Genomic DNA, 11,395 nt, shown 5'->3' with positions numbered 1-11,395 from the left:
CCGGGCCTGCTGCAGGTTGAAGCTGTAAATCTGTGGATTCAGGGATCCGGTCTGAGCTTTGCCAGGGCCTGCCTCTTGTGCTCATTTGTCACTTGCAATCTCTCTTGAAAAGCACAGACAGTGCCTGAGGGAACTGGATGGGCCCCTCTGACACCACCAGTAAGCTGATGATCAATGCTGCTCGGGATGGTTTAGCAAACCACTTTGCATTTTCCAAGACCTGAACTCCTTGGCTCATTTACTGAGTCACTTAAGCCTCTCTATTGTGTAAGATTTAGGGATTTGGGATGGCCTGGGGCCATTTTACATCTCCATCATTCCTGTTAAGCCCTGCTTGTTCCCTCTCCAACAGGTGGGGCCCAAGGTCTCCAGGAGGCCTGAAGGAAATCTGCACTGCAGCAGCTCTTATAGCCCCAGCCCAGGGCCATGGGCTGGCTGGCTCCCATAGCGGGGCAATGACAGTGGAGTCCTGGATTGCCCTTTTGCTTGCAAAAGCTAATTTTCTAGAACTGAGCACAGCACTGTGCTAGCAGCATGAGGGATGGAGTTTGGAGCGAAATAAGACAGGCCTCCCTGAATTAATTCTGAGTCAATTTTTGAGATGGACCCCTACCCAAACTGAAGGTGTGCTGGTAAATGTTTAACAACTAACTTCCCTAAGGAAAAAAAAATTGTAGCATTTGTCATTTCCCATGGTATAAATATTCTCTCCATGGCCGATTCCAAGACACCAATATGACATCTTGGGAAGAGATGCACAGGCTCAGGTCTCAAGAGTGGAAAAAAGCCACCGGCTCCAGCATGCCACTGACCCAAACTCACCACAATGCAAAATGCACAAAAATCTGGCCTCTAGATAGGGGAGCAATATCTCCTGACTGAGCTTCCTGGAGAAGCTGCAAGGAGCAAGGTATTTTTGGTTTGGTCCTTGAGGAAGGCACAGGGTTTCCACTGACGGAGCAGTGGAGGGAGGTTCTCCAGCAGGAGAGAGCGCCGGAACCAAGGCGGGAAGCACAGAAACATCTGCATGTTTGAGGACCAAAGTCCTCCGGCAGGAACACAGAGGCCACATGACAGAAGGGCTTATAAACTGCCATAGAGTTTGTCCTTCATCCGGTCTGTGGTGGGGAAGCCAATGATGCACCTTAAGCAGGTGAATGACACTGTGAGATTAGTTTCATTTCTTTTGAATACTGACATCATTTTTTAAAAGATACTATTTTTTCTAAAAAATTCTGTATGTTCATTACAAAAACAAATCAAACCATGCATCAAAGTACACAAAGATGCCTTTTCAACAGGTAAACATCTTCCCAAACTTCCTCTATGTATACACACAGACAAAAAGTTAGAAGGATATAGTAGAAATAAAATAAAATAAATGAAGATTTAAAAAGAGGAAAAAAGACAGAGAAATAAGAATTAACTAGTCTACCTTCTTTCACTGGGTATAGTCAAGGCTGTTTGCAATGCTTGGAACTCTGGCAACTGTCTTGTAACCATGAGGAAAACTAGTCTGAGGCAGCCGACAGACTGAGGGTAGCAGAGCAGGAAGATGGAGATAATCTGAGTTTTGGTGATGTAAGGTAGCTGCTGGCCTTCACATACAGACCACCATGTGATAACTCTGGTTGTCACATGTATGCTTTTCCTGCCTACCTAGACTCTAAATTCTCAAGACTCAAAACTGAGTAATAATGAAGCCAGTCTGTGGGATGTAAGGGCAAGAGCGTGGGCTTTGGAGTTGAACAAAGCTGCCTTTGCATTACAGCTCTGTGAGGGGGAGTTACCTAATCCCTTGATGCCTCATTTTTTTAAATCTCTGAAATGGCAATAATAAACCCGCTTCCAGAGAGGTGGTAAGCATTGCATTAGATTGCATATGTAAGGTTTCTACCACAATGCCTAGGACAGGAGGGACTCAGAAAATGATATATACATGATTATATATGAATGAATCTGAGAAAATATGAAGTATGCCACTGAGTGAAAACACAACATGGTACTTTTATTTCTTCAGTCTTTTTAGCACAAACTAGACAGACTATGAGAAGCAGAGTTCTATCTCTGAAACTTATGGGCAGATTAATTTGGGGCAAGTTCTTTTACTTCTCTAAGTTTCAGTTTCTTCAGCTGTTAAACTGAGACAAGAATATTTGAAGATTAAATAAGGCCATGCCCAAAGCACTTGCAACATGGTAGGCTCTCAATAGACACTAGTTTCCTTCTTCATGCTCTGCCCCTCCACAACACACAAGACACAGACGTGTGTTCCATAAACACGTGCTCTCTCTCTCTCACACACACACATACCTAGAACACACCCACACAAATGGACATGCACAGACACATGGACCCACACATGTGCAGACACACAGATACACAACTTTCTCAGCCCCAGAATCTTCCAGGAGGTTTTAGAAGTAGCTGTTGCTGTGTCTGTCTGCAAGACCTGTTTACAAGGCAATTATGAACTCTTTTCGCCAAATGTAGGATCTTCAAACAATGAGCACTGTTGCTTAAAGGAAGACTATTCCTGGGGGAAAATACTTTAAATGTAATTATGTCTTAGCTGCACATCTAGTAAATAACTAGACATGCACTGCTTTGAATATAAAATGTCACATTTTTGCAGATGGGACAGACAAATTTTGGCAGTCAGAGGAAGTCAGGAGAGAGAAATGAAAGAAGAAACCACATACTTCCTTTTTATTTACCTGATGTAACTGGGCCTGGCCCCGGGGGCATGGGGCTGGGAGGGCCCTGAGGGCTGGCTTTGGCTGAGACAGGTGCAGGGAAGGTGAGAAGCAGGCTGAGGAGCACAGAGAGGGAGTCTGTGTCTTGATTTCCTTTCTTGTTTACTTCTTTTGTGTCCTTTCCCACCCTCGTCACCCTGGCCTCAGTCTTCATTGAGTCTTCCCTGGGCCGCATCCTCACTAGTTTCCCCAATTGCATTCTTTCCTCCTCTGACCTGTTCTGTGTAACATCACTAATCATTTGTTCCCTGAAATAGCACTTTCCTCTTGCCACTCTTGCTCAGAAACCTCCCTATTTCTCCCTTTCGCGTCTTTGCTTCCTTGGCTTCTCAGTGGAATGAAACAGTCTTTTCACCAGGACTCCCCAGCACGCAGCTGGGCAGTGCAATTTCCATGGTCTCCAGAGCAGTCTGGTCCTAGAAACCATGAAGTCCAGCCTTAAGCCACAGAGCTACAGTCATGTGTCTTTCAAAGCCCAGAAGACCTTGTTCATTGCATGACCTGGACAACTCTCCTGACCTACCTTGTACTCCTCTTCCCAACCTGTCTCTTCTCTACTGATTTTTCTTTCTGTTTCACCTACCTTGGCTACTGGGGCTGGTTCCTTTCCCCTATTTACCCAACTTTGACCTTTGGCTTTCCTCCTAGCAGGAGGTTTGGATTTTCCCTCTGGCCAGGCTTTCATTCCTTTATCTACTAAGTACTTATACAGGACTTACTGGTGCCAGGCTACATTTATGGAGGCACAAAGAGTGTCTCCTATCTGGAAGAAGAGGCCATTAGACAATTCACTGTGTGTGTGTGTGTGTGTGTGTGTGTGTGTGTGTGTGTGCGCGCGCGCGCGCGCGGGTGGAGCGGGGGGGTGGTTGGGGGTAGGAAGATGCACAGAGGAATAAATTGTTGTCCTTGAACTCTGGCAACTAACCAGAGGTCAGCCAATAGTATTTTATCCTTAATTGATTTATCAGATTAAGCTTTAATGGAGCAGGGAGGAAGTAGGAGCAAGCCAGGAAGCCATTACAATGGAAGAGATTGTGCTCAAGAATTCCATTTGATCTTCAAACAACCCCAAGAAGGAGGGGTTTTCCCCATTGTCCACCCAGGGAAGCAGGCTCAGAGAGGCCAGCTGACTTTCCTAAGGTCACCCAGCTGGCAGTAGAGGGTCCTGGCAGCCTGATGGCATTGTTGGGTGCACTCCTGAGGCCACGCTGATCCCAGGGCAGGGAAGAATGCCAGGCACCCCTGGTCAATGTCGCTTCCTGATCAGCCTTCTAAGGATCGTCCGGGTCTGCAAGTCCCTTCCACGGGTTGACTAAAGCTGCCTCTTTGCTCTGGAAACCCTCTACCTTCCCTCACTGGCTCATCTTCCTGGCTTCTCTTTGCCTTGGCCCTGGGGGCGGAAGGGGAACAGCTGAGTTGTCATCTAAGCTTGCATCTTCCAGGGCAGCAGAGGAAAAGGACATTGATTTATGATCAAAAAGGCGAAGGAGGATGCCGTGGGGAGGACGCTGGTCGGCAGGGGTGGGTGGGCGATAAGAGAGAACTAGAAAGAATAAAAAGAATCCCTAAGCCTTAAAAACAGAGCTTGCCCTCTGATTCCTGGGTAGGCGTGGGTTGAAAATCTTTCATGTAAAACTGAAATGGAATCACGAATGAGGAGAAATCATCTTGGGGCTTGGGTGTGCCTTACAGGACTGAATTAAATTTAAAATGTATTGATTTCCCCTGCTGATTAACAGGCCTGGCACGCGAGAAGGGCGGCAGCCCAATAAGCAGCTGGCACCGCTGTCCCAGTCCACCAGCGTCCCCTGCTGCATCCCATGTCACCTTGAGTCCTGGCAATTTTCTAATTAGCCCAATGGGTTATGATTTGAAGCCGGAAGAGCCAATTAGCAGGAGTCTCCTTTGACCTCCAGTTTGGGGTGATAGGAGACGAGGTAATGACTTCAGACAGAGGGAGGGAAAAAACAAAACTAAAAATAAAAATAGAAAATATCAAGAGCAAAGACCGAAATCTTTTTGGTTTCCTGATTAATAACCCTGTCATGCCGATCACAAGCTCTAAACAGCAATGCTGGTTGCAGCTGAATTTTTTATACTTTCTATTAATCTTTAATGATAGCTTGGTCACCTAGTCTCTTTTATCTTGTCAGATAAATGTATGGTTAACAGGATAATGAGATTTCTAAAGCCCCATTCCAGCTCCCAGCTATCGAGTGCAGGCGGTGACCTCTGACCCCTGGCAGACAGCGGCACCAGGGCGCTCGTAATTGGTAGGTGTGCTGGGAATGCATTGGAAGCTGACTGATGGTTTAAACTTTGATTTGAGGTCAGCAGGGTCACCGAGCTCTGGAAGACCAGCCTGGTTTTATTACCAGCTGCCTCTGATGGGGATATAATTAGATTTAGCTATTGCTTTATTAATAAGTAATCGCTTCCCCCACTGCTGTGGGTGGGCAAATGTATTCCTTGAATAATTTGAGGACACTAGTCTGGCTTTATTAATAAGAATATATCATGTGTATTTGGCCAGGGGCAGACACCCATCTGGATTTCTGGACTTTGCAGGAACTTTATCATTTTTACTCATTTGCAGTATTGAATACATCAATACATCAGAAGGCTGTGCCTTCCGAAATCCATCCTTGCCTCAGGAACCTCTAACTTTCTGATGTCATAGGGGACCTTTGTTTTGGTCTCTTTCCAATGACTTAAGAGTAAAAAGTATAAAAATAATTCCATCCAGCTATCCACTCATCCATTCACTCATCCATCTATCCATTCATCTGTCATCCCTTTATCTACGCAATCATGAGAGCGCAGACAGTCCCCAACTTACAATGGTTCAACTTACAATTTGAACCACTGTAAAAGTGATATGTATTCAGTAAAAACTGTACTTTGAGTACCCATACAACCATTCTGTTTTTCACTTTTAGTACAAGATTCAGGAAATTACATAAGATATTCAACACTTTATTTTGAAATTGGCTTTCTGTTAGGTCATTTTGCCCAACTGTAGGCTAATATAAGTGTTCTGAGCATGTTTTGGATAGGGGAGGCTAAGCTCTGATGTTCGGTAGGTCAGGTGTGTTAAATGCATTTTCAACTTTTGACATTTTCAGTGTACAATGGGTTTATCAGGACATAACCCCACTGTAAGTTGAGGAGCATCTGTACTTGCTAAATGCTAGTTACAACCTTAGATGAAGGGGTTTAACTCTCTTAACAGAGACCCAAAGACCTAACTCCTGCCTTAAGAGATTTACAAGCAGAGAAGTAGCTAAAATTCAAGGCAGGGTGAGTTAAGAGCCATAAAAAGAGGATTCACAAAATTCTAGACTATGCATGGAAAGTGTTGAGCATTGGACCTGATGATGCCAGTGGCTGCTGCTATCACACAGGCTGCAGCAAGGAGGCACGGCTGGGGCTGCACACTCCATGGAGCTGGTGGGAGTCCCGCCCTTTCTGTGTTGTGGTGGGAGCTCCCTGGGTGCAGCTGCGGCCACCCTCCCAGGCATGGGACCCGGCATCTCTGCAGCCTACACCCTTGGGGACCCAGGAAGGCCCCTCCCTGTCCCTGCAGGCTCAGGGGTATCTGTTTCCACTGCTTGGCCTCTCTCCTCTCCTGGTGCCTTCTCTGATCTTGGAGTGGGGCCAAGCCCTGGGACCATGAATGGCCATGGGAAGCAGACAGATTCCTGGGTGGAAGGAGGCAGGTCCCCAGTAAGGTCCCCTGGCCTGAAGGCTGAGGGCTAGGCTGTCAGTCACAGTGGAGAGGGGACCTGTGATGCCTCCTGCAGGCCCATCCGTGACCGCCCATGGACCAATTGGCATGTACTTCCTCCCCTCTGAGGTCCATAAAAGCCCTGGGCTCAGCCAGAGCAGGGCAGAGGATGGAGAGATGGAATGACCAGCTGCAGATAGGAGCTACCCTCTCTGCTGAGAGCTTCAGAGACCTGCAGAGATGTCTGAATGACCTGCCTGCAGAGAGGAGCCAACCCCTCCAGGGCTTCCTCTCTGCTGAGAGCTGAACACACCATGAAATGACCTACTATGGAGAGGAGCTACCCATACGGGTCTCCTCTGAGCTGTTGTAACACTAAATAAAGCTCCTCTTCATCTTCACTCTTCGCTTGTCTGCGTACCTCATTCTTCCTGGACACAGGATGAGAACTTGGGCAAAGGCACCACTGGCCATAGAGGTTTCCAGGAAGAAAATCGACAACTCAAAGAGCCTGTAACACTGACAAGTTGAAAATGTTCATATTTTGGCAATAGTTACGAGCTTCAGAGAAGGGCTGGGAAATAGGAAAGAAGTGGACCTGAAGGCTGAGAAGTTTCTTGAAATGTTTAAAAATTTGAAGTTTTCCCCATGCATCCCATGATAGAAAATTAAGAAAGCGCAGGGGAGAAGGAAGAGAAACAAAATTTAAGACGAAGAGAATTAAATAAAGATTACTTATTAGACCTAGACTCTAAAAATAATTAATTAAACAACCATTTATTGAATGTCTACTACATGAAAGGCATGTCCTACCCATTTTCCCATTTACCTAAAGATAGTCCCAATATAAAAATTGTAGTTCCAGTGTTCACTACTCCAATATCACATGTATAATTCTACTCTGAAATACTGCAATCTTAATTTTTTTGTTGTTAAATACCACCATGTAGGTGTTTTTTATAAATCTGAAAATTGCTATGCTTGGCCACTCTTCTCCAAGTGGTGACTCAGAGATTTAGCTCCTGCTATCTTAATATATACCTAGAGACTTAAATGCCCCATTACAATTTCTAGTTGAACACAAGAATGCTCTTTTTAAAAATGATTCTGGCTGGGTGCAGTGGCTCACGCCTGTAATCCCAGCACTTTGGGAGGCCAAGGTGGGTGGATCACCTGAGGTCAGGAGTTCACGACCAGCCTGGCCAACATGGTGAAACCCCATCTCTACTAATAATACAAAAATTAGCTGGGCGTGGTGGTGCACGCCTGTAGTCCCAGCTACTCGGGAGCCTGAGGCAGAAGAAACACTCTACCTGGGAGGTGGAGGTTGCAGTGAGCCGAGATTGTACCATTGTAGTCCAGCCTGGGCAACAGGAGTGAAACTCTGCCTCAAAAAAAAAAAAAAAAAAAAAAGATTCTGACTACATTTCTACCACATTTTTGTCTAATCTAAGACATGATTATTGTATGTTCCACAAAAAATCTAAAGCATTGCTGATGACACTGTGACATGCTATTGGCTGTAATACACATTCTGATTTCACAATGTCAGATTGTGAAACGTGTCTTACACTTGATAAGATACAGTAGGTTAAACCTTCCCTAGGTATGTTGTAATTCCCATTTCTCAGGATTCCTTGGGACATGATTCATAAGAACATGATTTTTTATGTCTATTGCCCATTCAACCTCCAGAGTCTGCTAAGCTTAGATCTACTTCCCAAAGTCTCTGATGGCATCTCCTTCAAAATGAGGATGGAGAGGGTGGTGGTGCAGAGATGGGGGACAGAGGAAAGGAAGGTCCCAGGACTGATCCCCCACTCTTGCCTACATAGACCCTGCCCCTCTCTCTTGCTCCCCTCCTCTTTCTTCCTCCAGGGCCACACCCATTCTCCTAGGGCCTGACCCTCTCTCCGGGAATAACTTGTCTTTATGAGGAGATCCTCAAGAGTGGTAGACAGGAAAATCCCATCAAGAAGAACTCAAGCCAGGACCAAGAAACCTCAGTCCTGGTCTCTCTCAGATGGGATGATGTCTAAGGGGAAACAGTAGAAGGAAAGTTTGGTTAAGTTAACAAGCCATTTTTCTTAGGTTGTTGTAACCACTCTTGGCTATTAATTCTCAGTCCTTCAGTGAATTTCCAGGTGAAGCTAGAAAGGTGTATATAGACATATACCACAGATCCTATCTGATATTCACCCACAGAAGTGGTTCCATTTTAAAGGCCCTTCCAGTAATGAATGCCATTTGTTGAGTACCTGAGAGGCATTGAGTACCATCTTCCCATCTTTGTCAGTCAGGATAGGCTGAGTTGTGCTGCAGTAACAAGCCCCAGATTCCCAGTGACTTAACCTAATGATAGTTCATTTATCACTGCTGCAAGGTCCAATGTGGGTATTGCTGTCAGACGGCTCTGCTGGGCACCTCTCCTCCAAGTGGTGACTCAGGGATCTAGTTTCTTTTTACATAGCTTAGGCTCTGCTAACCCTTAGCAGGCCCTCAGTATTTCCAAGTCTTCCTCGAGGTCTTTAGCGGCCCAGCCAATGGGCAAGGTGCATCTAAAAAGGGGAGTTTATTGAGGTTTTAGGGGCAAGGCCTGGAAGTGGCAAATCTCCCTTCCACCACACCACATTTTTTGACCAGAGCTAGTCACATAGTCCTGCGTAGAGGCACACGAAATGTTTGGGTGAACATTTAGTGTTATCTTATCTCATCAAAAAAGCCCTAAACTGGCAAGTGGAATAATGTTGCTAACTCAGAATAATGTTCTCTTACTTATACCATAGGCCCATAATCTGCTGTGGGGACAAAAAAAACAACAAACAAAACAAAATAATGCTGAGAGAAACATACACACACACACACACTCACTCACACAAAGAAATAACTCTGAGATCCCACAGTTATTTTTTTCTTTGTAACTTTTTAGAGTTATTGATTGCCTTAAAAAGTAGATAAAAGATTCATATGGAAGCAAGAGGCACTGGATTTGAGTCCTATCTTCATCATTGTGAATTTAGGATGGATTTTAAGCAGTCACTTCCCCTCTCTGAACTTCAGGATTCTCCTCAGTGGTAACACTATGGAAATAGAGATGTGGTTTCCTGACTCTATACTGGGACAGTGACAAATTCTGGTGTATCTATGGAGTCCACGGGACACTTGTTTTGGCATCAGGACTACACTGGAAGATTGGGCTGAATAGCACTGTATTAGTTTCCTATTGCTGCTATAACAAATTACCACAAGTTTCGTGGCTTAAAGCAACACACATTTATTCTCTTAAATGCTGGAGGTCAGAAGTCCAAAATGAGTCTCACAGGGCTAATATCAAGGTGTTAACAGAGGTGGTTCTTTCTGAGGGCCCCAGAGGAGAACCTGTTCCTTGGCTCTTCTAGCATCTAAGGTGGTTGGCAGCATTCCTTGGCTCCTGGCCACAACTCTCCAGTGTCTTCTTTTGATGTCACATTGCCGTCCTCTGTTCTGCAGTCAAGTCTCTCTCTTTGAAGGATACCTGTGATTACAGGTACAGTCTTCCTGGATAATCCAGGATAATCACCTGTTCTTGAAATTCTGAATTTGATCACATCTGCAAAGTCCCTTTTGCCATGTAAGATGATACTCATGAATTCTGGAGATTAGGATGTGGATATCCTTGGGGGCCATTATTCAGCCTACTTCAGGGACAGACTGAGGCAGCGAGAGGAAATTTAGACACTTTTTTGGAGTAGAGGGTAAAGGGCAGGAAACCCAGCACAATCTATCTAATCTGGCCTCACTCTTGAAGCCTTTGAGAGGAGACACAGTAGAGAAAGCCCAAGGGCCTGGGAGGGGACAGGCCTGGATTTGCATTTCTTCTCTGTTAGCTACCAGCTGTGTGGCCTTAGGCAAGTTAGTTTACCTTCCTGAGTCTGTCTTTTAAACCAAGGAAAGTCATGCTAACTTCCTTGGCTACTGTAAAGATGAACAATAACCCATGAAAACTGTTTGGCACAGTGCCTGGCACCTAGCAACGCCTGGTGGCTGCAAGTATTATCATAAACTCCCTATCCGGTACCTTTGTGAGTGAACCAGAGCATCGATGGGGGAGGTGCAGGCAGAGTGGAGATTCCAGCAGGGACCCACATCAGCAAGGGGTGGAGGCAGGTCACATCCAGCAGCAAGGATGGCTCCATCATTTCTGAGCAGGAGTCCTGTGAAGGGCCTGGCTGTAACTGTCCAGAGCTACAGAGGCAGAACCTGTGAATGGGAGGCATTGTCTGCAAAAAGCAGGGACAGGAGGATCCTGAAAGGGGGAGTCGTCTGGAGCAAGGTCCCAGCACCCACTCCCCCACTGGCTCCATTTTCGGGAAACTGCGATCAGGACTGCAGAGCAATGCTGGGGCAAAGACCTAGTGCTGGGCTCAATGTTCATAAGCTATGAAAGTCTCTCATTCACCTCCTGCTGGTGTATTCTTGCCATGCTCTAGACTTCTCTTAGGCTGAGAACAAATCTCCAGCGAAATGTTTAAGAGAATGGGCTCTGGAGCCTGTCTGCTTACATTTTTTTGTTTGTTCGTTTGTTTGTTTTTTTGAGATAGAATCTCACTCTGTCACCCAGGCTGGAGGGCAGTGGCGCAATCTCGGCTCAGTGCAATCTCTACCTCCCGGGTTCAAGCAATTCTCCTGCCTCAGCCTTCCAAGTAGCTGGGATTACAGGCACCTGCCACCATGCCTGGCTAATTTTTGTATTTTTAGTAGAGACGGGGTTTCACCATGTTGGCCGGGCTGGTCTTGAACTCCTGACCTCAAGTGATCCTCCCGCCTTGGCCTCCCAAAGTGCTGGGATTACAGGCATGAGCCACTGTGCTTGGCCTATCTGATTACATTTAATTCACAGCTCTGCCACTTACTAGACCTATGACTTGAGAAA

The 11,395-nt window shown here is 45.8% G+C and overlaps 1 long non-coding RNA gene across 1 annotated transcript, besides 3 other annotated features; it reads right to left on the bottom strand.

Annotated features, from left to right (window-relative positions):
* Positions 1,799-1,848: an enhancer, noted in NCBI's record as "active region_9686". NCBI's record gives its function as "activates an Ori minimal core promoter by ATAC-STARR-seq in GM12878 lymphoblastoid cells {active_cell/tissue: GM12878}" and the evidence as "EXISTENCE:reporter gene assay evidence [ECO:0000049][PMID:35858748]".
* Positions 2,659-2,862: a silencer, noted in NCBI's record as "fragment chr15:70727798-70728001 (GRCh37/hg19 assembly coordinates)". NCBI's record gives its function as "represses an EF-1alpha promoter that drives an FKBP-Casp9 reporter gene in an ReSE screen in K562 erythroleukemia cells {active_cell/tissue: K562}" and the evidence as "EXISTENCE:reporter gene assay evidence [ECO:0000049][PMID:32094911]".
* Positions 9,763-11,004, bottom strand: LOC124903519 (uncharacterized). The gene is made up of 3 exons (XR_007064699.1): positions 10,922-11,004; positions 10,541-10,722; positions 9,763-9,997 (listed from the first exon to the last, which is right to left on the bottom strand). It is a non-coding gene; the product is annotated as an uncharacterized LOC124903519 (long non-coding RNA).
* Positions 10,197-10,704: an enhancer, noted in NCBI's record as "H3K4me1 hESC enhancer chr15:70719956-70720463 (GRCh37/hg19 assembly coordinates)". NCBI's record gives its function as "activates a minimal SCP1, AML or CMV promoter by ChIP-STARR-seq in naive H9 embryonic stem cells {active_cell/tissue: H9 hESC(naive)}" and the evidence as "EXISTENCE:reporter gene assay evidence [ECO:0000049][PMID:30033119]".
* Positions 11,005-11,395: the final 391 nt, after the last annotated feature.

This window comes from Homo sapiens, chromosome 15 (assembly GCF_000001405.40).
Source record: "Homo sapiens chromosome 15, GRCh38.p14 Primary Assembly".
NCBI classification, from domain to species: domain Eukaryota; kingdom Metazoa; phylum Chordata; class Mammalia; order Primates; family Hominidae; genus Homo; species Homo sapiens.
The sequence above is the reverse complement of the archived record's forward strand: the minus strand, read 5'-3'. Positions and strand labels throughout refer to the sequence as shown.